The 26,342-nt window shown below is 36.5% G+C and overlaps 1 protein-coding gene across 10 annotated transcripts in view; it reads left to right on the top strand.

Annotated features, from left to right (window-relative positions):
- The window catches only part of COG5 (component of oligomeric golgi complex 5), a 362,549-nt gene that overhangs the window by 245,320 nt on the left and 90,887 nt on the right, over positions 1–26,342 (top strand). For all 10 annotated transcript variants that reach the window (NM_001379516.1, NM_001379515.1, NM_001379511.1 and 7 more), the window contains one exon: positions 20,255–20,459. In NM_001379516.1, the coding sequence (NP_001366445.1) occupies positions 20,255–20,459 (205 nt within the window). The remainder of the gene's footprint in view (positions 1–20,254; positions 20,460–26,342) is intronic.

Here is a 26,342-nt window from a genome sequence, read left to right as displayed (position 1 = left end):
ATCTTAGACTTGTATGTAGCCTCCAGAACTGTGAGAAATAAATTTTTGCTGTTTAAGCCAAAAAATCAAAAACAAAAAATTATTTATGGCTGTAGTTGCAATGCATCTGTTGTCACATATTAATTTAAAATGTGCTTTATCACTCTAAAAAGTTTTTTAAAACCTTGGGGTGGCTATCATTTTATTTTCTTTCTTTAAATGAGTACATTTAATTTGTACTTTGAATATTTCGTCTCTCAATATGACAGGAATCTACAAAGAAAAAAGCCATTGGCGGCCAGGTGCTATGGCTCATGCCTGTAATCGCAGCACTTTGGGAGGCCAAGGTGGGCAGATCATAAGGTCAGGAGATTGAGACCATCCTGGCCAACATGGTGAAACCCTGTCTCTTCTAAAATACAAAAAATTAGCTGGGTGTGGTGGCACGCGTCTGTAGTCCCAGCTGCTCCGGAGGCTGAGGCAGGGGAATCACTTGAACCTGGAAGGTGGAGGTTGCAGTGAGCCGAGATGGCCCCACTGCACTCCAGCCTGGCAACAGAGCGAACCTCTGTATCAAAAAAAAGAAAGAAAGAAAGAAAGAAAAAAGCCATTAGCATACTTTAAAAATTTCAAGCCTTTAACCATTATATCTTCCGATATTGTTTATTATTTATTGTTTTAGAACATTTTTAGTAAAATCGTAGAAGGTAAACTAAGGAAATCACAGAAACAATAAGTAAGTTGAACTCCACAGAATAAGACCGGGATGGAAATGCCCTTGTCCGCTCATTCTAACATCTATGTTAATTCCGGGTTTTTGTTTGGTTGAATTTTCTTTCCATCAGACCTGATATTTTTCTACTTATTTGCATGTCTAATAATTTTTATTGGATATTAAACATGAACTTAACCTTGTTTGGGGCTGATTAATTTTGTCATCTCTAATACTGATAGTATCAGATACTTAAAGACAGTTTGATCCTTTTGAATATTGCTTTAAGATTTATTAGCAAATTCAAAGCAGTAATAATCTGCTATTTATTTCCCAGTTATGAGGCAACATTCTTCTTAATACCCTCAAATTATTACCCTGTGAATTATGAGGTTTTCCAGCCTGGCTTTAGAGAATAGGGATTATTCTCAATCTTATGTGAATGTAACAGGATGTTCCCTCTAAACCTTTTTCATAGTTTTCCCCCAAACTCTGGAAGTTTAATGCTGATCAGTGCTTTGCTGAATACTCAAAGGGAACCCTTTGCACATCTCTGGAATTCTCTGTCTATGCGCCTCTGTTCTCTCCGGTATTCTATTTTGTGAACTCTAGTTGTTTCTGTTTGGCTGTTCTGGGAGGGGATAGAAGGAAGGGTATTTTCCCTCTTTCCGTGCCATGGCCTGGAAAGTCCTTTAAGGTAATGAGCTGGGGCACTCATAGGGTTCATCTCATTTGTTTCCTGACTCTGAGGAATCACCGTCCTATGTTGCATGTTAAATGTCTTGAAAGCCATCTTTCATATATTGTGTATTTTTTGTTGTTTCAGATAGGTTGGTAAATCTGGTCCCTATCATATCATTGTGACCATAAGCAAAAGTTCCTCATTAAAATTTCAATGAGAAACTTTTGCTTATGGTCATGATGATTTAAATAGTGATTAAAATATTTAATGATTCAAATTTAAATAATGATTAAAAGTATATTTCAGAATATTATATGGGAGTGTGTGTGTACGTTTATTTAGTGATACTGCCATTTACTTGTCAGTGATTATCTGCTTTTCTTTCTTTTTTTTTCCTGAGACAGAGTCTCACTGTGTCCCCCCGGCTGGAGTGCAGTGGTGCATCTCCATTGACTGCAAGCTCCGCCTCCTGGGTTCACGCCATTCTCCTGCCTCAGCCTCCCGAGTAGCTGGGACTATAGCCGCCCGCCACCACGCCTGGCTAATTTTTTTTTTTTTTTTTTTTTTTTTGTATTTTTAGTAGAGACTGAGTTTCACTGTGTTAGCCAGAATGGTCTCAATCTCCAGACCTCGTGATCCGCCCGCCCTGGCCTCCCAAAGTGCCGGGATTACAGGCGAGAGCCACCACGCCCTGCCTGCTTTTCTTTTCTTAACCATTACAAACCTTCAGTATTCTCCACATGTCTTCCTTTATCTCCTGGGTCATTAGGACAATTAATGTCATTAAGAAATTTTTTCCTGTACCTTTCTTCCAAATAAGAGCCTTATTTCCTCCCTTTGAGCCTCAGAAGATAACTTAACTTCTTCTTCAAGGTCACCCATTTACCTGGTGCCCAGACCTACTCTGTTTATTTCTCTCTCCTAGCATCATCATTTATATTTCTCCTTTTTCTGTGTTGGATTTCTCCTTCTCTTTTAATTTCTTTTCCTCAGCTATAAACCTATTCATGTTGCTCCCATGTAATAAAAAATAAAACAAAACTAGAAAGTTCCTCTTTAGTTGCTGTTTACTCTCTCTCTTTTTATGTAAATTTCTCCAAAGAGTAGTTTGCATTTTTTGGTGTTCATTTTCATTCTGTTGATTTCTCAACTAGGTGTAATCTGGCTGTCTTCCATCATTCTATTGAAATTGTTCTCATTAAGGGAAGCAATGACCTACTTTTTAATTGCCAGCGTATGTTTTCAGTTCTTATCTTATGGGACCTATCTGTCTTGTATAGTGAAAGAAGCTAATGACAGGAAACATACAATATGTAGACAGAAAATCCCATTAATATTTCACCTTAGGAATAGCCTGCTACTTCTAATACCATAATTACTTTAATAACTTCCTTTGGGAGAACTCCAAAGTAAGTTGTTTATAAAGTACCTTCAATTTTTATAGCACATACAGTCCCTGAAGTGTACTGTAGTACTTCTTAGAATTATAGACAGGCAATATTAAGGAAGTGCAACCATCTGCAGAGTTGAGGATTACACACAATGTAACAGATTGTCTAAGTAAGTAATGTTTTGGCAAAGTATATCTAAAGGAAAATGTTCCTAGTTAGGAATATGTTCTTTCTGATTATACATGTTCATGCTTAGTTAAAAAAAAAAAAAGTTCTATTAGAAGGTAATCCAAGAGCTTGACAATAAATTTACTTCTTTTTGGAAGTATGCTTGAAAAATCTAGCAAGTACATCTCTTTTTACATGTCTAAAACCCCTTGTGCAGTATTAGTCTCTGAAAACTCTTAAGCCACTCAAAGAAGTTGTTCATACAAGTTAGAGTGCTAACATGGTTATATATCTGTAATACTTGGCTTCCCAAACCAAGAATGAATAAGAGATACATTGAGATATATGTGTTACCAGATTTTAAAAGTTTTAAGGCTTGAAATACTGTATACTAAAGCTCATTATCTTTACCTTTTTAAAACATATAGTGATAAAGAGTCAAATCTTTCCAAGAATTAGGGAGATAAAACAAACTATATGAGAATGTATGTTCTTTAAAAAAAAAAAAAAGATTAGAATAGTATGCAAGTTGAGATCATATTGTGAATATTTCTTGAAAATTAATGTCTACCTTAATATGTATATACTTAGGGAGATAAACCTAATATACTCATTTAAAGTACTTTTTAGAATTTTGATCCTTGCAATGGAAGTATTTTGTTACATAGTTCTAATGAGCCTATAAAGTACCATCCTAACACTGTAACACAAAAAGAAAACTTGCAATTTGTGTTAAGGGCTTGAGATAAGAGGGATCTTTTAGGAAAGTACTAAAAGTTTATATACCTTGGAAGAAAGTAAATCTAGCTATCAAGTAAGTGCTTTGATGTTCTGTTTGGCAGAACAAATTTGATCATGTCATTTTCTGATTAAAATCCTGCATTGACTTCCAATAGTCTTTGTTTTGTTTTGTTTTATTTGAGACAGAGTCTTACTCTGTTGCCCAGGCTGGAGTGCAGTGGCACGATCTTGGCTCACTGCAACCTCTGCCTCCTGGGTTCAAGCAATTCTCCTGCCTCAGCCTCCCAAGTAGCTGGGATTACAGGCACGCCCACCATGCCTGGCTTTTTTTTTTTTTTTTTTTTTGTAGTAGAGATGGGGTTTCACCGTGTTACCCAGGATGGTCTCTTATCTCCTGACCTCGTGATCTGCCCGCCTCGGCCTCCCAAAGTGCTGGGATTACAGGCGTGAGCCGCTGTGCCCAGCCAGACTTCCATTAATCTTTTAAAAAAGTATTTATTAAGCTATAATACTCATTAAGAAAAAGTGTACATATCATAATTTCACACCTAGATGAGTTTTTCAAATTTTAAAACATCTGTATAACTAAGATCAAGTACAGCATCAAGAATAAGAAACAGTATTATCTGTAGTCCAGATGTTCCCTTCATGTCCCCTTCTAGTTTCTACCAGCCCCTCTCAACAAGAGATTTCTAATGGAATTTTTTCCACTAATTTCTAATGGAATTTTTTAAAATTGTTATTTTTCTTTTATACAGATAAAATCATCTAGTTTGTGCTCGTGTCTCCTGTGTGACTTCTCTTGCTCAAAATGTTTCTAAAAGTCCCCCATATTGCTGCATGTACTTGTAAGTCATTCTCAAAATGGTAAAATATTCCATCCTGTGAATATACCATAATATGTTTATCTTTCATATTATTGATGAGCATTTGGGTGATTTCCCATTTTGTGCTACTTTAAATAATGGTACCATGACAATTCTGTGCAATTTTGGGAAATTAACTCAAAAATGGAAAATTGATAGGCAGAATAATAGTCCTTCCAAAGAGTTCCATGGCCTAATCTCCAGAATCTGTGATTATGTTACCTTCATAGCAAGAGGGATTTTGCGGATGTGAGTTAAGGATTTTAAGGTAGAGAGATTATCAAGATAATCTCTGATCATCTGAGTGGACCCAGTGTAATCATATAGTCCTTTTAAGAGTAAGAGGAAAGCAGGACTCAGAGGAGGATATGTGATAATGGAAACAGAGGTAGGAGTAATATAATTGCTTGAAGGGGGGCCACAAACCAAGGAATGCAGGCAAGTGGAAAAGACAGGGACAGAATTCCCCCTAGAACCTCCAGAAAGAACATGACTATACTGCTGACACATTGATTTTGGCTCAGTGAGACCAATCTCAGACTTCTGACCTCCAAAACTATAAGAAAATACATATTAGTTGTTTTCTCAGCTTATTAGGTACTGTCAGAGAGTTTTCCAACATGGTGGTACTCATTTAAACTCTCCTTGGCAGTATATGAGAGTTCTAGTTTTTCCACATGCTTGTTAATATTCGGTATTGTCTTCCTCTGGCATTCCAGTTGTGTATATAGAGGCTGATTATTTCAGTTCACTCTAGGATTGGGTTGGTGTGGGGCAGGTGCAGTTTTAATAAACACTCAGTTTGCCTTTCATTCTCCTCTTTTACTTTGACATGCTTCTCCCAAGCTTTTAATTGAGAAGTTGGAGAGTCTTTGTCCTGAAATACTGAGGTTGATCTAGCTTTGCTGTCCAAAGATTCACAGACTTCCCACCTCATGAAACTTTAGACCTAGTGAATGTCTTCAGGATAAGACCTTGCTTGTGTTTGTGGCACGTCCTTTCCCCACAGCTGGTCTTTTGTTTCCTAAGCCTCACAAATGGGAAGAAACTTCTACTCCACTTTTTGAAGATTTACACCTAATTCCCTGGCTTCCCTCACAATCGCAGAACTCAGCAAATGTTCCATGGGAAATCCAGTTTGAGATTCCTTCAGTTTCTAATTTTTCACTCCTGTCCTGTGAACCCCTAAAAGCTTTGTTAGTTTTTCCCTTCTTCTGCCGAGGTCCTCTGCTTCTGCCAAGCATGAATTTTTTTAAATAGATAAGCCTTCTTTAATTGTTACAAGAAGTGAACTGGTCTGCCTCCACTCTTCTTCCATTACTCTCAAAATGCAATTCGAATATGACTCTTCTGGTCCCTTCCTATTTCCTCAGCACTCATTAATTTTCTTTCTATGTCTTTATCTCATACTTAAGCCTGAATTGTTGAATGAATCACCCTCTTTCTCCTCAGCATTTACAAATACCTGAAACACGTGTCTATATCCTCCCCATCATCTCTGTAACTCATACTTGTCTTTTCAGTCTCAGAGTAGAAATGAAGTGTTCCCTGACGCCTCTTTCCCCATGCCCACCCAAACATGAGCAAGACCTCTTCTGTCAGTTCCCACAAAATTCTTAATGTACCCGATTTCAGCACTTAGCCCACTGCATTATAATGGCTCATCTACTAGCTTATCTGAGTCTCCCACTGGGCTCTGCAAAAAGCTTCTGCCTACCTCTTTCCATGCTATAGTCCTGTCAGAGAACACAATGCTCAGTAAATAACGTTCTGTTGAGATGGATCCCTAAAGTGTTAAATATTTAAAGTCTTTATTAATTTGAAGGACCTCTGAAGAGAAAACGAACTGTAAAAATCAAAATAATCTTAATTTTTAAAAACAGACATAAGCTAAAGGAGACCCAAATATGAAATACTTTTATAAAACAAACAACAATATCTATACATGATAAACAGGGACATGAAAAGATGGTTGCAGGAGCATTAGTGGTGATTATTATAGGATGGGAAGCTAGGATGGGTTCACAGAAAAAAAAAATCCCCAGTTTACTCTGTATGTCAGGGTAAATTCCAAGTGGATCAAACAATTACATATGAAATATGAAACCATTCAAGCCTAGAATAAGCTAGGAATCGGGGGAAAATTTTCTGATTCAACATCCAGAAGCAATGATGAAAACCTTGATGATTTGATTATGTTAAAAAATTTTTTGCATGGAAAAAAACCTTGAGCAAAAAAAAAGGAAAAATGACAAAATAGAAAAAAAATTTTTAATTAACACTAAAGGTAAGGCATTAGTATCTCTATTATATAAAAAGCTTCTAAAATGGGAATTAAAAAGCCAAAAACTCTATAGGGAAAAAAATGTGGCCGGGCGCGGTGGCTCACGCCTGTAATCCCAGCACTTTGGGAGGCCGAGGCAGGTGGATCATGAGGTCAGGAGATCGAGACCATCCTGGCTAACAAGGTGAAACCCCGTCTCTACTAAAAATACAAAAAATTAGCCGGGCGCGGTGGCGGGCGCCTGTAGTCCCAGCTACTCGGGAGGCTGAGGCAGGAGAATGGCGTGAACCCGGGAAGCGGAGCTTGCAGTGAGCCGAGATTGCGCCACTGCAGTCCGCAGTCTGGCCTGGGCGACAGAGCGAGACTCCGTCTCAAAAAAAAAAAAAAAAAAAAAAAAAAAAAAAAAATGTAAATACGCTCGATATCACTTATAAATAGAGAAATGCAGAACGTACAGAGAGACATTATTTCTCATCTATCAAATCAGCAAAAAATCAAAAAGTTTGATAACATACTCTATTGGCAAGCCCGTGAGGAAAAGTCAGTCTCACACATTGTTAATTAGCATACAAACCTTATGGAGGGGCATTTGTGAGTTCTCAACAAAATTATATAAGCAGCTACTCATTTACCCCGAAATTCTACTTTTAAGGATCTATCGCATAGATGCACTGGCAAAAATTTAAACAGACATTCGCCGGGCTATTTGTTGCATGATTATTTGGAATACCAAAAATTGCACACAACCCAAATGTTCATTATTGTGACATTAGTTAAACAAACTATGTTGAATCCACAGAACGGAATGTTGAATCCATAGAATTCCATAGAATGGAATGGATTTTTTTTTTTTACATATGTGCTGAGAACTTTTATTGATGCCAGTCGAGATTAATGAAATGTAGAGCATCTTTGTTGAAGATAAACTGAGGGAAATACCACAACTTTCCATTGCTGACAGGCCTTTGTTATCCAGCTGTCTCAGTCCTGGGTGTGTGTACTGGGTGCATGCCCTTGCCTCTTCTTTTGGGATGTCTTAGTGTTAGCACCTGCTCCCTAATGACTAGCTTTTCTGCATAGTTTGAATGAAGCTACTTCATTTTTGTTTTTTGTCTTCGAGCAGTTTTCAGTTTTTAGTTTTTAAGAACTGTCCTCTAACTGGTTTAGAAATTTGTCCAGCCTTTTGGGTTGTATTCCACACATGTTCTTTATCGTTTCTTCTCCCTTCAAGGGTGTCCGTAGCATCTGCCATTAGCGACTGCAGCACTAATTTTTATTTTAGCATTTTGTGAATTCCCCAAGTTGTACAGAACACTTGTGTTTACATTGTTTTTATAGAACTAGCAGAATAATACTGATGTATTTTAAAAAAAATGCAAGCCATTGCTTCTCTAATTTGCCCACAAAGTGGGCAGCTTAAATTCTGTGAAACATCTTTATAAAGTTTATGAGCTTTTTATTCCACTTCTGGTGAGCCATGGTTGTGGCTTTATGAAGTAGCACTGTGTGATCGGTATATTAATATGCTTCTACAACGAGCTTTTTCTTTGCTCGTGTTGGATTGTCTGGGGAAACATCCCAAGTCTAACTGGTATCACTGGGGAAGTTAATCACATGATATTAACTATAGTTTGGGAGAGTGGCACATGCAGCTATAAAAAGAAATGAGGGGAAAAAAGGAATGAGGAATATCTTTACATACTGCTTTGGAGAGGTCAAGATTGTTAAGTTAAAAATCAATGGCTAAATATGTGTATAGTACACTTTTGTTTACCTAAGAAAGAGGTGACATAAATATACATTTTCCTTATATTTTTAAAAAACTGAAGGATAAACTATAAAATCCAGAAAAATGGTTGCCAGTCCTTGGGAGAGAGGGGGTTGGGTATGAAGAATACATTGGCAGGAACAGGGATAAAAGCTAGACTTTTGTGAATATACGAATATACTTTTTGTGTAGATTTAAGTTTGAAGCCATATAAGTATTTTACACATTTATAAAACAAAATGAAAATGAAAAAATTCCTAAAATTACAAAGTAAAATTAAATAAGTGAATGTAGATGTGTGACACAACCACACAAAGCCAACTCTTTCATTTGACTTTCTGCTTATTTGATGCCTTTACTTTTAAACTCAGTAATTTGTTTCTTGTATTCCTACTGGGATACCCTTAAAGGACAACAAAAACTGCCCCCACAACCCATGAACTCTTTTCAGTAATCAAGATATTGATGGTAGCATTACTACTACACCTACTAGCTTATCTGTGTCTCCCACTGGGCTCTGCAAAAAGCTTCTGCCTACCTCTGTTCCATGCTATAGTCCTATCAGAGAACACAGTGTTCAGTAAATAACAGACATTCTGTTGAGATGGATCCCTAAAGTGTTAAATATTTAAAGTCTTTATTAATTTGAAGGAACTCTGAAGAGAAAACGAACTGTAAAAATCAAAATAATCTTTATTTTTAAAAATGGACTTACATGCTAAAGGAGACTTGTTATTTTCAGACTGTTGTGTGTGTAGTGTGGGATAAAGTAAATGAATAATCATATTGATATGATAGCATTTTCAGCATGAGAGAATGAAGATGCAAAGTGAATGAGATCAAAGTGAAGTGATGATGTATTTTTTTCTTTAAAAAATATTTGATTTATATATATTTCATAGCTCTGACCACCGAAAAGCCCTAGAAATAATTGTCATTCAGTAGTACTGAACCCCTTTATCACTTATGTTGTGGTCTTTCCACATGATTTCCCATTTTAAAAAACCATAATTCCATGAGGAAATGGCTGATTCCAGATCTGGGGCAGGAAATGTATAGAATAATTCTGTAACCCTTTACATTAGAAAGCCAAGGAGATATCAGAGACTACTGGGGTTGTATTGAAAGGGCTCAGAAAACACTTTGAATAGACCATCTACCAAAGATGGAATAATTTTAGTATACAATAAAGATAACAATTGCAAGGGATTGTCTAAATCCACCATACATTCATAGTGATACAAATAAAGAAATACTTTTTTTATTGGTAATGGTTGGTTACCATTAATGATGGTATGGAACTTTGAAAACTGGTAAATAAAAGGAACACGATCAAACATGTTTTTCTGCCTTTCCTAAACAAATGATACCTCAGAGAAACCAAATAATTCATGAGATAAATTTCTATTTATTTAAGTATTGCCTCTAATAAATGCAGAATGAATGTTGGAATCTCTTCATTTTGCAGTCTTCAATGAATTAGCAGACCTAAGGATGATTATTAGTGGCTGCTAATTTTATTTAAAAAGGCAAACACTTCAGAAAATTCAGTCACTACATATGCAGTAGTCCTGTTAGAAATGATAAAACCTGGAATCTGATCAAATTCTTACCTATATCAGTGGTTTTCAACTTGGTTGCTCTTTAGAATCACTTGGACAGTGTTTAAAAATCCCAAAGCCTGGGCTGTAATTACATTAGAGTCTCTAAGAGTAAGACCCAAACATAAGGAATTTTAAAAGCTCCTCAGTTATTTCAAGATGCAGTCAAGGTGAAAAACACTATTTTAGATTCAACTGATGATTTACAGGAAATACAGGATCAGAGGATGGAATCTGCAAAATCTAGGCTATGGGAAACTCTGTAGGACAAATGTCCCAGTTTCTTAGACAAATAATGAAAAAGAATAAAATGAGAGAACTACAGATTAGGTTGATGATATATCAACTAGTTATAATAGGTGAACTATTTATGGATCCTAAATCAAACAAAGCATTAAAAAATTCCTAACTCAATCAGGCAGATGTCACCACTGATTGTTAATTTTGTAAAGTATAAGAGAACTGTGGCTATGTATTTTTGTGTAATTTTTATTTTTATTTCAATAATTTGTAGGGTTCAGGTGGTTTTTGGTTACATGGATAAGTGTTTTAGTGGTGATTTCAGAGATTTTTGTACACCCATCACCCAAGCAGTGGGTGTACCCAATATGTAGTCTTCTATTCCTCACCCCACTCCCACCCTTCTCCCCCATCATGTCCCTAAAGTCCATTATATCATTCTTATGTCTTTGCATTCATATAGCTTAGCTCCCACTTATAAGTGAGAACATACAATATTTGATTTTCCATTCCTGAGTTACTACACTTAGAATAATGACCTCCTGTGGCTATATAAAGAAAATAGTTCCTACTATTAGATATACTTGTGATTATGAGTGAAATGATAGAATGATATTGGCTCCAAAATAACTGGTAGTGATGGAGGGGCATTGGCCAGGATATAGATAAAAACAAGAGTTGACAAATGCTGAAACTAAGTGATGGATACACAGAGGTTCATTATACTATTCTCTCTACATTATATGTTTGAAACCTATAAAAACAGTGTTTTCAGAATTTTAAGGAAAGCACTTAAGGCAGAGGAAGGAAGTCAGCACAGAAGAATAAAGAAAAATTTAGAGAAGTAGAAAATACAGGAAAGAATGGGGTCATGGACAGTATTTTTCAAAGGAGAGAGTGATCAACAGAAATCAAATGAGAGATCAGAAAAACGCCCACTGTTGTTGGCAATTGGAATGATAGCGTGATTTTCACCAGAATAATTTCAGTGGTGTTGTGGCAGTTGAAAGTCTGGCTGCAGTCTGGAAGAGGCAAGCAAATGTGTGCAGACTGTTATTACAAGGAGCAACAGGACAGTGGCTGCAAATGAATAGTTTATAGAGTTAAGGCGGAGTGTGTTGGCATCTTGTTTGTACTTTTTTATATCATGAGAGAGCATGTTCAGGCATCTTTTATTGATCCTAAGAGGAAGCCAGTAGAAAGTGAGGTGCTAAAAATACAAAAGAAACAAATAATCTTGGAGGAGATGAGTTGGGATGAAACAGAGAACAGAAATTGAGAAATAGGTCTTGGACGTGTGTTCCTGTCAAAGTTGAAGACTAGAAATAGACGGGAAGAAGGTAGAAAATTGAAGAGTTTCTTTCCTAGAAGCCTTTGTTTTTCTGTGAGATAGGAAAGATGGCCATTTTCCTATCACCAGTGGATTGAGGCTTACAGAGTTAGAAGTTTGGAAGAGATTGTGTATGCTTTATATCCCTGTTAAAAAATAAGGGATTGCAGTACAGAATGCATACCTAGTTGGTATTGGATTCCATAACTTTGTGTTGCTGCCATTATGAGGAGGAGAAACAATAGAAAACCAAAATGTGAGAAATCTCTTAGGGCTATAGACAGATATTTTCATTCATTCCATCCTAATATTTTGTATATAAGACTTGCATTTTAATATCTGTTAATCTTAAATGAGATTTCTCTGAGTTTTACAAAGGTCTGTTTTATTTCTATTCTGGCTTGAGTTTTTCTGAACTATAATTAAAGAAAATTACATTTATTTACAATTAGCTTTAGTTCATATAAATGTTTATTTGCTTCTAAAAATTATTACCCACTTCAGTGGCTAAAGCAGAAAGAATGATGAAAAACATTAACTTGGGGCAAATGACTTAGCTGTGTTTTGTTCTGGTACTCTTATTGTATGTCTGAACTATTTTTAGTGTATTTGGGCATTTTTTTCCAATAATACTCTAGACAATTATATTTTTTATGTAAAACTGATTTTGTTTTGTCATTGTTTTGTATTAGAAAGGATTAATATACTTTACAGTATATAAGTATTTGAAAAGTAGGTGTTTGCAAGTTTGCTGTATGGCCCTTAGTATTTGACTTTTATATAATTCCCATTAATGTGAATGAAATATGATATATTTTATTGTGGCAGAAAGATTCTAAGATCGCCTTCAGTACATCTGTCTACTGGTATTGGCACACTTTTGTAATCTTTTCTTCTTAAATATAGGCAGAACTTGCTTCTAACTTGTACATACAAAGTGCGTATCCCTCCTGTGATTAGGTTGCATACGGTTTTAACCTCCATTTTGCTCTCAGGCGGTCTCTCTATTGCCTTCTTTGCTTGCACATTTTGACGATACAAGCAGCTGTCATACCATTCCACTTGGCAAGAGCCAAGGTCAGCTTCCAGCTAACAGCAAGCTAGAAACTGAGGCTCTCAGCTCACAAGGAACTGAATCCTGCTAACAACCACAAGAGCTTGGAAGCAGATCCTTCCCCAGTTGACTCTTCAGATGAGACTCCACCCATGGTTGATACCTTGATGACAGCCTTGTGAGAGGTCCTGAAGCAGAGGACCAAACTAAGCCATGCCAGGATTCCCAACCCAAAGAAATTATGATATAATATATGTATGTTTTTAAAATAAGCAGTTAATGTTTATGGCAAGTTGTTACATGACAATAGATAACTAGTACATTTATGAAACAAAACATTCAAGACATCCTAAAGGCAATAGATTACTGGCTTCCTTTGCTTTCATAATCTGGGTGATATAGGTGAAGGCCTGGCAGTTGATTGAGAACTGGGCCAGTTAGGAAAAGGAATGAGCAAGAAATGGGTAGCAGCCTGCTCACAAAGGCGGCACTTAATTAAGCTATGAAGGCTGACTGTTTCAGGCCAAATCCTCCAAACAACAGGCAGTTCTCTTAAAATATGACCAGCAGCCTCTACTAGGATAATCTATTCCATGTCCTTTGCATTTGCTGTTTCTTCTATCTGAATTGCTCTTTCCCTGAATATCCAGATGGAGCATATCCTTGCTTCATTCAGAGAGGTCCTCCCAGGTAAGTACATAAAATAGCACATCCTGTCTGTCTCTTCTCTAACCTTGCTTTATTTTTCTTCAAGACATTTAGCACTTCCTGACATTATGTTACATAATGACTTGTTTATTGTCCTTCTTCACTCGAGTATAATCTCTATATGGAAAGGAACTTGCTTATTTTGTTTACCCTTGCATATCCAGCTTTTACAACAGTATTTGGCATGTAGTAAGTGGTCAGCAGATATTTGTTGAATGGATGAATGCTTAAATCCTTCCAGGTATATTTGGCACTGCCCAGTATTTGGGCATCTGAAGGTTGGCAGAGTTTTAAGGAGTACTGCCTTTTCTTGGCCAGACCGCAGCCAGTTTCCTAGACAGGAGGTCTTTGGTCCTTTTATAGGGAGATGCAGGAGAAGCAGCGTCATACAGGCTGAGGTTTAGGCACAGCTAGTCAAGACTAAGACAAGACCTAAGATTGCTCCAACTCTGGGATAAAGAATACATTAGAGCTGTCCTGTGAAGCCTTAAACCAGGGATGTAGGGGTAGTAAGAAGATTAAGATAAGGCTGATATAACTCCAAGGGGGAAATGACATAACTCCAAACCTAGACCCCCTTTTCATTCTACTTTCAATTCATTTGTTCATTCAGTAATTGAATGCTAAGTGTTAAATCTAGGTAAAAGAAACACAGAGGAAAATAAGACAAATAATAACCCTGCTTTCATTTAACTCACATTTTAAAGGGGAAGGACAGTCAATACAAATTAGTAACTTCTTACAGTGTTCAGGGCTAGGGAAGAAAATAAAAGAAGGTACTGGAATAGAGAAGATGGGAAGAGAGAAATTGAGCACATAGACTATTTATATCCTTTAATCTTCATGTGAATTAGGTCAAGGTTTCGGATGGGTCTGTCCCTACACATTTTGGAAACTGTGGGGGTTCTTTTTGCAGTGAATTCAAGAAGACAAAGATAGGGGAATAAAATCAAAGGCATACTTTCTTAATCAGAGGTTTTTCCCCAGACCTATTATTACCTGGTAGGAGTACAATACATAGAATTATCTTCTAAATTATAAAATATTGTTTTAATAGTAATTAGGTTGTTTAATGTGAGTTTAATTTCCACATTTGTGCCTGTGTTGTAATCACTAGTGATTAATTTAAAAAAAACAAGTTTGCACAAGGCAATAATCTGAATAATACATTCCCAGGTAACTGGGAATTAACCTGTAATTTTCCTTGTATAAATTATTTGATTATCAGAATGTACAGTAGGTGTACTATAAATTTTCATCAAATAATTAAAATTGTATAGGTAATATGAACACTTTATAACTACATATCAAATAAATTACAGTAGAACTTACCTTTGGCTGGGTGTGGTGGCTCATTCCTGTAATCCCAGTGCTTTGGGAGACTGAGGTGGGAGGATTCCTTGAGCCTAGGAGTTTGAGACCAGCCTAGGAGTTTGAGCAACATAGGGAGACCTCATCTCTACAAAAATTAAAAAGTAAATAAAATTACCTGGGTGTAGTGGTGCATATCTATGGTCCCAGCTACTTGGGAGGCTGAGGTAGGATTGCTTAAGCCCATGAGGTCAAGGCTACAGTGAGCCGTGACTGTGCCACTGTACTCCAGCGTGGGTGACAGACTGAGACCTTGTCTCTAAAAACAAAAAACAAACAAACAAAAAAACTTAGTGTCAAGATTTAAATATATAATACTTGTTTGTAAGCTTTAAATATAATTGACTTAAGTAACTTACAGTTAATTAATCAATCACATTTGCTGAGATAATATAGACAAAGTTTGGCTTAAACCCTCAGTAGTAATTTGTTCTGTATAGATAAGATTTTTGTGAAAATGATACTGTCCCCTAAAAAGAAAAAACATATTCAACTGGGCATGATAGCTCACACCTGTAATCTCAACACTTTGGTGGCCGAGGTGGGAGGATCATTTGAGACCAGCCTGGGCAACAAAGTGAGACCTCATCTCTAAGAAAAAAAAGAAAAAAAACCAAAAACTTCATTCTATTATTTAAGAAATATTTACTTCTGCTATTACAAGGCACTGTGCTAGGTACCAAACGTGCTTTGAAGAAAAAAGGCATTGTCCTTGCCTTCATGGAGTTAACAGCCAAGTAGGAGAAACATACTTCAAACAAATATGTTTAGAACTTTATTACAACACAGCAAGAATCATGAGCATTAGCATATTGTTTTTTAGTTTCACATGCCTCCAAATATTATAGGGTGATATGACATGGGCCCATGTGGATGGTGCATGTACAGAGATTGCATGGCAGGTAAGGAACTTTCAGCTTGAAGAAACTACTACTTTTGTAGTGAATAGTAAATGAGTCTGCTATCTGTCTGCAGGATGATGTTACCATATCTCTCAAGATTTCTTGCCAAATACAAGAGCAAACCCAGGGCCTTGCATTATTGGCATGCCGTGAAAGAACATATAGTGTTACTTGAGGCCCATGGTGCATTGCTGCTTTATCAGGGAAGAGGGAGGCCAAAGAAGTTTTCTCTGAGATAATTTCTCTTAAATAGCTTTACTGAGGTATAGCTGGCATACAATAAACAACACGTCTTGAAAGTATACAATTTGATATGTTTTGACATATGAGTACACCCCTGAAATCATCACAATAATCAATCAGTGAACATATTCATCACTGCCAAAAGTTTCCTTGTACAGCTTTGTAATTACTGTCTCCACTATCTCCCTCCCCCATTCCCAGGCAAACACTGATCTGCTTTTTGTTACTATATGGTAGTTTGTAGCTCCCAGAATTTTGTACAAATTGAATGATTTAGCATATATTATATATTCTTATTTGTTTGGCTTCTTTCATGCAGCATGATTTTATTGAGATTCAGCTATATTGTAGTATGTTTTTGTTGTTGCATAGTATTCCATTGCATGGATATATTAGTTTGTTTATGCATTGGCCTGTTGATGGACATTGGATTGTTTCCAGTTTTTGCTACTACAAATAAAGATACTGTGAATGTTCAGGTACAATTCCTTATATAGATATATACTGTTATTTTTATTGGACAAATATCTAAAAGCAGAATTATTTAACAATATGTTAGGTATATAGTTAACATTTTAATGAAATGCTAAATTCTTTTGCAAAATAAGTATACAATTTTTTATCTCCACAAGCTATACAAGAGTTCTAGTTTGTTTATCCCTGCCAATATTTGATATGGTCATTTTTTTTTTGAGGCAGAGTCTCACTATGTTGCCCAGGCTGGAGTGCAGTGGCACGATCTTGGCTTACTGCAACCTCCACCTCCTGGATTCAAGCAATTTTCGTGCCTCAGCCTCCCAAATAGCTGGAATTACAGGTGTGCACCACCACACCTGGCTAATTTTTGTATTTTTAGTAGAGATGGAGTTTCACCATGTTGGCCAGGCTAGTCTCAAACTCCCGACCTCAGGTGATCCACCCACCTCAGCCTCCCAAAGTACTATTCACTACACAAGCCACTGTGTTCGGCTGTGGTGTGGTCACTCTTTTTAATTTTAGTCATTTGAACAGTTATGTAGTTGTATCTCATTGTGGTTTTAATTTGCATTTCCCTATTGACTAAAGAGGTTGAGTATTTTTTTCATGTGTTTGTTTGCCATTCATATACCTTCTTTGATAAAGTTCCCATTTTTGAAGTTAGGCTATTTTCTTGTTATGGAGACTTGAGAGTTCTTTATGTGTTTTAGATAAAAGTGCTTCATCAGATATATGTGAAATTGATTTTCCCTTTCTGGGGCGTGTATTTTCATTTTCTTAGCCGTATTTTTTTTGAAGAGCAGACACTTTTAATTTAGATGTTGTCCAGTTTATCAATTTCTTTTGCAGACCATACTCTTGGTTTCATATCATGTCTAACTCAAGGACAGAAAAGTTCCCTCAGATGTTTTCTTTTAGAAAATTTAATCTTTTTTGAGTTAATTTTTGTATAAGGTACAGAGTGTGGGTTAAAGAGGGTATTTTTGCATATAGCTATTCAATTGTTACAGTATCATTTGTTGAACTCTACCCTGTGTCTACTAAATTGTGTTTGCACCTTTGTCAAAATTCAGTCTGTCAGATATGTGTGGGTCTATTTTTGTACTCTCTATTCTGCACCATTAATCTATGTGTCTGTCTTTACCCCAGTACTAGTGTATTAATTATTATAGTTTTATATGTCTTGAAATCAGGTTGTATTAGTACTCCAACATTGTTGTTTTTGTTGCCCTGACTATTCTGGGTTCTTTACATTTTCATATGATTTTTGGATCATTTTTTCAATTTCTACTAAAAGAAATCCTGCATTGATTTTAAATTAGATTACATTTAATATATAGATTAATTTAGGGATAATTTACATTTAACAATATCTTGGAACTGTGAATATTCTCTCTTTCCATTTATATAGGTCTTCTTCATCTCAGCATTGTTTTTGTAGTTTTCAGTGTGCAGCTATTTCCCATTTTGTCAGATATATCTATGTATTTCATATTTTTAGTGCTATTCTAAATTGTATTCTTTTAAAATTTCAACTTCTGATTGTTCATTGCTAGTATACAGACATATGACTGAGTTTTGCACATTAATCGTATCCTGCAACTTTGCTAAATTCAGTTATTATGTTAACTCTAGTAGCTTTTCTCATATTCCATCAGATTTTCCATATAGATGCTTGTATATTATCTTTCTAAAAAGACTGTGTGCCTTTCCAGTCTGAATGTCTTATTTATTTACTTATTTACTTAGGCCTCATTGCACTGGCCAGAACCTCTAGGATATTAGAAGTGGGGAAAACTAACATTGTTGTCTTGTTGCTGATTTTTGAGCAAAAGTATTACTTATTCTCTTAAGTATTATATTAGCTGTAGTTTTTCATAGATGCCTTTTATTAGGTTAAGGGTGTGTTCCTTTCTGTTCCTAGTTGACTGAGAGTTCTTAGTAGGAGTGAATGTTAGATTTTTTTCAAATGCTTTTTCTTCCTCTATTGAAAGGAGCATACGCTTTTTCTTTTAAGTTTGTTAAAATATGAATCACATTGATTGATTTTCAGACATTAAGCTGACCAGGTATGTTGGCTCATGTCTGTAATCCCAACACTTTGGGAGGCCAAGACAGGAAGATTGCTTGAGCCTAGGAGTTAAAGAACAGCCTGGGCAATATAGTGGGACTATATATATATGTAATTCCATATATATATATATATATATTCCAGATAATTCCAGATATATATATATATATATATATATATATATATGCCAACTATGAATTTCTGACATAGATCTCCTTGGTCATGATGTATTATACTTTTTATATATTGTTTGACTAGATTTGATGACATTTTGGTTATAATTCTTGCACCTATCTTGATAAGGAATATTGTTTTGTAGTTTTTATTTTTCTTTAGTATCTGGTTTTTATATCAGGGCAGTGCTGGCCTCAGAATGAATTGGGAATTGGTATAGAATTGCTTTTATTTCTTTCTTAAATTGCTTGATAAAATTCACCACTAAAGTCATCTAAGCCTGAAGTTTTTCTTTGTGGAAAGATTTTTAACTAAAAGAATCAACAAGTATAGTGCTATTCAGTCTATCTATTGCTTCTTGAGTGAGCTTTGTTAGTTTGTTTCTTTCAAGGAAATTGTGTATTTCATGAAAGTTTTCAAATTTATTCAGATAAAGTTGTTCATAATTCCTTTATTACCCTTTCAGTATCTGCAGAATATTTTGTAATATGTAATGAGATCATCTCTGTTATTCTTAATATGGGTAATTTGTTTCTACTGTTTTTTCCTAATCCATCTGGCTAGAAGTTTGGCAATTTTACTTATCTTTTCAAAGAACCAGTTTTTGGTTTCAATATTTCTTGTTTTCATTTTCTGGTTCATTGATATCTGTTCTCAGAGCTTTATTATTTTATTTCTTCTGTTTACTTTGGTTTTTATTTGCTCTTCTTTTTCCATATTCTTAAAATGGAAGTTTAGGTCATTGATTTGAAACTTTTCTTCTTTTCAAATGTAAATATTTGCATAAATTTCCCCCAAGTACTCCTTTGGTGACATCCCACAAATTTTGATATGTTGCGTTAAAATTTTCGTTCAGTTCAAAATACTTCTCATTTCCCTTTTGATTTCTTTTTTGATCCATGGGTTATTTAGAAGCATTTTCTAGTTCCAAATATTTGAGGATTCTTTTCAGGTATCTTTTTGTTACTGATTTCTAATCTAAAACTATTTTGGTTAGAGAACAAGCTTTGTATGGCTTGAAGCCTTTTCAATGTATTGAGACCGGTTTAATGGAACCAAATATTGTTGATCTTGGTAAATATTCCATGTGCACTTGAAAAGAATGTGTGTTTGCTGTTTTGCATGAAGTATTGTGTGAATGTAAATTATTAAGTCAATTGGGTGTTAGCGCTGTCCAGTTTTCTGTCCCGATTTTCTGTGTACTTATTTTCTTGATTCTTGAAAAAGGGAATTGAAATCTTCAACTACAATTGTGGGCTTTTCTATTTTTTTTAAATATAGATTAGGTTTCAAAATATGACCTGCACATCAAATGCAGTGAATAGTCAGAGTGGAAAATTATTATTATTAGCATTATTATAAAAGGCCTCATTAGAACACGTCTTTGGTTTGCCCTATAGTATGGGTTATTTGGAACATATCTTCATATGCAAAAGAAACATTTACTACATTTTATTATTTTTCTAATTCATGTTCTTGTTTTGCTTGGCAGCTTCGATGTTTTTGAAGCAGGCATTTGAAGGAGAATACCCTAAATTATTACGTCTTTATAATGACTTATGGAAGCGTCTTCAACAATACAGTCAGCATATCCAAGGGAATTTTAATGCAAGTGGAACTACAGACCTCTATGTTGACCTACAACACATGGAAGATGATGCACAAGATATATTCATACCAAAAAAGCCAGATTATGAGTATGTTTGTTTAATTTGACCTGTTAGTTGGCATCTTAATTTTATTTTTATTTTAAATTTTATCTTTTATTTTTATTTTAAATTATAAATTAAGTATATACCAAGTCTCTAAATATTTGTAGTTTATTTGTATACCTTAAAAGACTTTGCAAGACTTTTAACTGAATAAGTCAATTTTTCACCCTTAGTTGAACACTTGTGGCTCCTGCTGGAGTCAATTTTAAAGTGTAACACTAAGTAGGATGATGAGAAGCTAGAAGATGATCATGCTGTGGTCATTGTATTTTAATCGATGTTATAATATACCTGTAATTACCTCAGACAGTATCATTTATTGATGGACCACTTGCATAAATGTGACATAAAAGGAACTTGGGTGTTCAGAAACTACAGGGGAGATAAATCTTATGCTGGGATAGGTTCTCAGTCAATGTGTTAACAAAAAGCAGAGTGGATCACTAGGTCAGGAGTTCGAGACCAGCCTGATCAACATGGTAAAACCCCGTCTCTACTAAAAATACAAAGATTAGCTGGGCATGGTGGCGCTCGCCTGTAATCCCATCTACTCGGGAGACTGAGGCAGGAGAGTCGCTTGAACCCGGGAGACGGAGGCAGCAGTGAGCTGAGATCACGTCACTGCACTCCAGCCTGGGCGACAAAATGATACTCCGTCTCAAAAAAAAAAAAAAAAAAAAAAAGGCAGAATGTACTCATCCCTTGGGTATTTGTAGGGGATTGGTTCCAGGACCCATTGGGAAGCTCAAGTTTTTTAGGTAAAATGACATAATATTTGCATATAACCTATGCACATCATCTCTAGGTTACCTATAATACCTAATACAATGTAAATGCTATGCATAGAGTTATTATACTATATTGCTTAGAGAATGATAAGAAAAAATGTGAATAAATGTTTCATTACAGCCACGACCATTGTAGGCCTAAATAGGTTTTCAATCCATGGTTGGTTTAATCCTTGGATGTAGAATTTGCAGAAATGGAGGTCCAACTGTATAGTTAAAATTACCCCTGAAAATCTCTTAGGTCACCCATGAAGTATAGTAGTATAGCCATATTTAGGAGCCATATTGGAAACCAGTATACCATCTCAGCAAGTTTAGCCCGCCCAGCTTTTCCTCCAAAATTGAAAGAGTATTTTAAACTTTCAATTTGAGCATCAGATCAAGTGATTGGCTTTCACACCTTTCTTTAAACACTAGAATCATATTTATTGTGTCAAGGCTGGCTAAAGCAGTAGCAGTTTCTTATCACCTATCTTGTAAGAAAAATGTTGGATAGACTCATGGGTGCTGTTTAAACAGTTGTTTGTTTCTCTTTTAATTTTATTCCTAAATACATATAGTTGAATTTGTGTCCAGTATAGTTAGAAGCTCTGACTGGCAGAATACAGTATATGGAAGTTCTGACTCGTGCTGGGCAGTGTGACACATGCTTGTAATCCCAGCTACTGGGGAAGGTCTCTTGAGCCTAGGAGTTAGAGGCCAGCCTGGGCAGCATAGTGAGACCCTGTCTCTCTTTAAAAAAAAAAAAAAAAAAAAAGAGTAGTTTTGACTGGCAAAATAAATGGCCATGATAGGTTAGAATCATAGAATGAGACCAGATTATCTTCTCAATAACTCTTTTATAATAGGCAGATTCAGTAAGTCCTAATAGAGAGGGCAAAAGAGAACAGAACCTATGTCTGTTGATCTGCAAAGATTTAATGATATATCATATTTTTTAAAAGTATATATAAAATAGCAAATATAGTATTCTATTTCTGCCTTAGTTTTATTTTTAAATCTATGTGCATGTACTAAAAAAGGTCTAGAAATATACAAAGCAAACAGTAACAGTTATTTCCAGGAGGTGGAATCCTAATTTTGTATTTTCTGCTTTTATGTAAAATGAATATATGTTCCTTGTGTGAAAGAAAGAAAAAGAAAGAAAGAGAAAGAAAAGAAAAGAGAGGGAGAGAGAGGGGAGGGAGGGAGGGAAAGAAGGAAGGAAGGAAGGAAGGTAGGTCACTGTGTGAGGAAGGAAGGGGAAGGGAAGGGAAGGAAAAGAAAGAAGAAAGACCGTGAACTTTGGAAGGCCAACGTGGGCAGATCACCTGAGGTCAGGAGTTCGAGACCAGTCTGGCCAAAACAGTGAAACACCATCTCTACTGAAAAAAACAAAAAATTATGTAGGCGTGGTGGTGCATGCCTGTAATCCCAGCTACTTGGGAGGCTGAGCAAGAGAATGGCTTGAACCTGGGAGGCGGATGTTGCAATGAGCCGAGATCGTGCCACTGCACTCCAGTCTGGGTGACAAAGCAAGACTCAGTCTCAAAAAATAAATAAAATAAAACAGTAAATTCAATGGAGGCAAAACAAATTAGAGTAAAAAAAGCTACTGTGTTTTCACTAATAGGATATTATTGTCACTTTTTGGAGATGAATTCAGTAATGTGGTTGGTGAGGAAAACGAGATATAGGAGGCCATATTCGAAGATGTCAAAAAATCTTGAGGGTTCAAGGACACAAACAAGGAAGAGTTGAGTTTTCATAGATGGAAGTAGCCAGTGGAGAGAAAAAGAGATGGGAGATGTAAGAAAGAAAAGAGAAAATGAATGGAATCAGGCCCTAGAGGAATCAGAACAGAATCAAAACATGAATAGCCAGGATATCATTTTTCATGATTCATTACTTGTGTCAAATTTTCAGTATTGATAATTGCTATGAAGCAAATAAAACAATGCTGTAGAGTTGCTTACTATATAGGATGTCAGAGAAAGCTTCTATGAGGAGGTAACATTTGACCTGAGATCTAAATAGTGTGGAAGAATCAACCATGAGAAATTTAGAGTAAGGTTTTTGCAGGCAGAAGAACAAATTTAGAGACCTTAGGAAAATTAAGACTGGGTACGGTGTGGTGGCTCACGCCTATAATCCAAGCACTTTGGGAGGCTGAGGAGGGTGGATCACTTGAGGTCAGGAGTTCGAGACTAGCCTGGCCAACATGGTGAAATCCTGACTCTACAAAAAAAAAAAAAAAATATATATATATATATATATATATATATATATATATGTGTGTGTGTGTGTGTGTGTGTGTGTGTATATGTGTGTGTATATATATATGTGTGTATATATAGATGTGTATATGTGTGTATATATGTGTATATATATATGTGTGTATATATATATGTGTGTGTGTGTGTGTGTGTATATATACACACACACACACACACACACACACACACACACACACACACAAATCCAGGCATGGTGGCACATGCCTATAATCCCAGCTACTCAGAAGGCTGAGGCAGGAAAACTGCATGAACCCAGGAGGTGGAGATTGCAGTGAGCTGAGATCGCGCCACTGCACTCCAGCCCAGGCAACAGAGCAAGATTCTGTCTCAAAAAAAAAAAAAAAAAAAAGAAAGAAAATTAAGATGAGGAGGTTTGAAGAACAGAAAGAAGCCAGTGCAGCTGGAACATAGTGAATGAAGAAGGGAAGTGTTTAAGATTGGATCAGAGAGGAAAGGAAATGTGAGATCAGGTAGAGCTTTACAGGCAATGGTAAAGGGCTTGGAGTTTATCTTAATAAAGTGAGAAACCATTGATTTAGAGGAATGATGTGAACTGATAAACATTTTAAAATTAGCACTCTGACTGCTATGTAGACAACTTAGGGGGGGCCAGCACAGAGTTGGAGAAGTGGAAGATGGAAGCTATTTTGTTTATCCAGATAAGAGATGATAATGACTTGAACTAGGATGAGCAGATGAGGTGGTAATTTGGTTAGATTGATTCAAGATGTATTTTTGAAACAGGATATGTAGAGGGCAAGCCATGGATTTGAGAGGACAGGGGAATCAAGGATACGACTAGTTAATGGAAGACTGACTGGTTAAGATAGGAAAAATTTTTTCAAAGCATTGTATTTAATTAATATTTTTCTTTTGAAACTGGTGAATTGAAAATGCAAATAGAGTTGTTGAAAAGGTAATTAAATATGAGTCAGGGCTGGAAATATGTATTTGGAAGTAATCATGCACTTATTTTTATTTTTATTTTTTTAGATGGAGTCTTTGCTCTGTCACCCAGGCTGGAGTGCAGTGGTGTGATATCTGCTCACAGCAACTTTTGTCTCCTGGGTTCAAGCGATTCTCCCACCTCAGCCTCCCGAGCAGCTGGGATTATGGGCACACACCACCATGCCCAGATAATTTTTGTATTTTTAGTAGAGACAGAGTTTCGCCATTTTGGCCAGGCTAGTCTCGAACTCCTGACCTCAGGTGATCCATCCACCTCAGCCTCCCAAAGTGTGGGATTACAGGCCTGAGTCACCGCACCCTGCCATCATCATGTACATTTTTTTAAATCGTGGAATTGGAAGAGATTACATAGGGAAGTTATATATGGAGAGAAAAGAGAGCCTTGGCCCAAGAAAGGTACCAGCATTTATAGATTAGACAGTGGAATGGCAGCCTACAAAGGAGACAAAGACAGAAAAAGTGGTGAGATAGGAGGACAACTAAAAGCAGTGTGGAGCCCCAAAGAATGAGTTCATTTAAGTTGGAGTCCAGAAATGGTCCTAAGAGCAAACAGCAAAATGAAGAAACATCTATTCAAGAAAGTCTAGGAAAATGTGGTCAGAAAAACTGGAGCCTGTGGTATTTGAGTCAAGATTGTTCCCGTCTTACCCGCCTTAGCTTAGTGAAGTGGAGATCGTTCTCTAGACTGCAGTAGCCAAGAACACAGGGCTCCCTCCTAGCTCTCAGCTGGAAGGCTCTCTTCCTGGGAAGAGCAGGGCCTCAACATTTCTAATAATGACCTCAGCAGAAAGCTGCTGAGGCTAACTTTCAGGTAAGCGAGGTCAGGAGTAGGGAGCTCCCATATTGTGCCCAATTCCCACGCAATGAATGGGTCCTTGAGTATGGCAGGCTCAAAGTACTGGGGCCCTAATTACCTTTGCCTGGGCTTTTGAAATAGTGATTCTTTGCTGGGAAATATAAACTGAAAGGACCTCATGCAATTGCCTTCCACCAAGTGCTCACTTCCTAGAATGAGGTTGTTCCCAGACCAAACTGAGGGTTGGGCTGCTATTTCTTGCTGCCCAATAACAAGATGCAGAACTGGAGAGGAGGAGAGTTTTTTATTTCTGTAACCAGTTGCAGGGATAAGGCCCAGAAAATATTGCCACACCAACTCAAAATTACAAAGTTTTCCAGAGCTCATATACCTTCTAAGCTGTATGTCTACATGTAAGTGTGCATTTATCTAAAGACATAAGTGATTAGCTTATTTTAATCTATAAGTTCTGAGTCTTGAAGACCTTCCTCTGGAGCCTCAGTAAATTACTTCATCTAAATGGGCCCCAGGTGCTGGGGTGATTACTCTTATCTTCTCTCCTACTAAATCATGGAGGTTTGGGGAGTTCTTTAGACTACCTATAAACTTGTTTGTGGAGGCCTGGAGAGTTTCTTCAGATCCTGAGTAAAACTTTTTAAATCCTAAACGGGTCCTGTTAAGAATTCCTTCGTTATCTTGTCATGCTTTAAGGCCCAGGAAAGGCCTAAGGAAAACTCTTGGTAGGCTTTTGTTATATCTCAACCTTTGTATAAGGACATGGGCTCTTTCAGCTTTTAATATTTAGCTTAACCACTCAGTCAGTTCTAAAAGTTGTTATGGAGGCCTACATTAGTGAGACCTGGTCTTCTACAAGGTGTCAGTCAGAAAGAAGCTTGCCATTTTCTCCACCCTCAGGTCCAGAGCCCTGGCATAAAGATTTTTACTTGGGTAGAGGCAGGCAATAAAACAGGTCCTGGGTCAGACATGGCAGTCGGTCAGCAGTTTGGGAGACCAAGGCAGGCAGATGGCTTGAGCCCAG

This window comes from Homo sapiens, chromosome 7, assembly GCF_000001405.40.
Source record: "Homo sapiens chromosome 7, GRCh38.p14 Primary Assembly".
NCBI classification, from domain to species: Eukaryota; Metazoa; Chordata; class Mammalia; order Primates; family Hominidae; genus Homo; species Homo sapiens.
The sequence above is the reverse complement of the archived record's forward strand: the minus strand, read 5'-3'. Positions and strand labels throughout refer to the sequence as shown.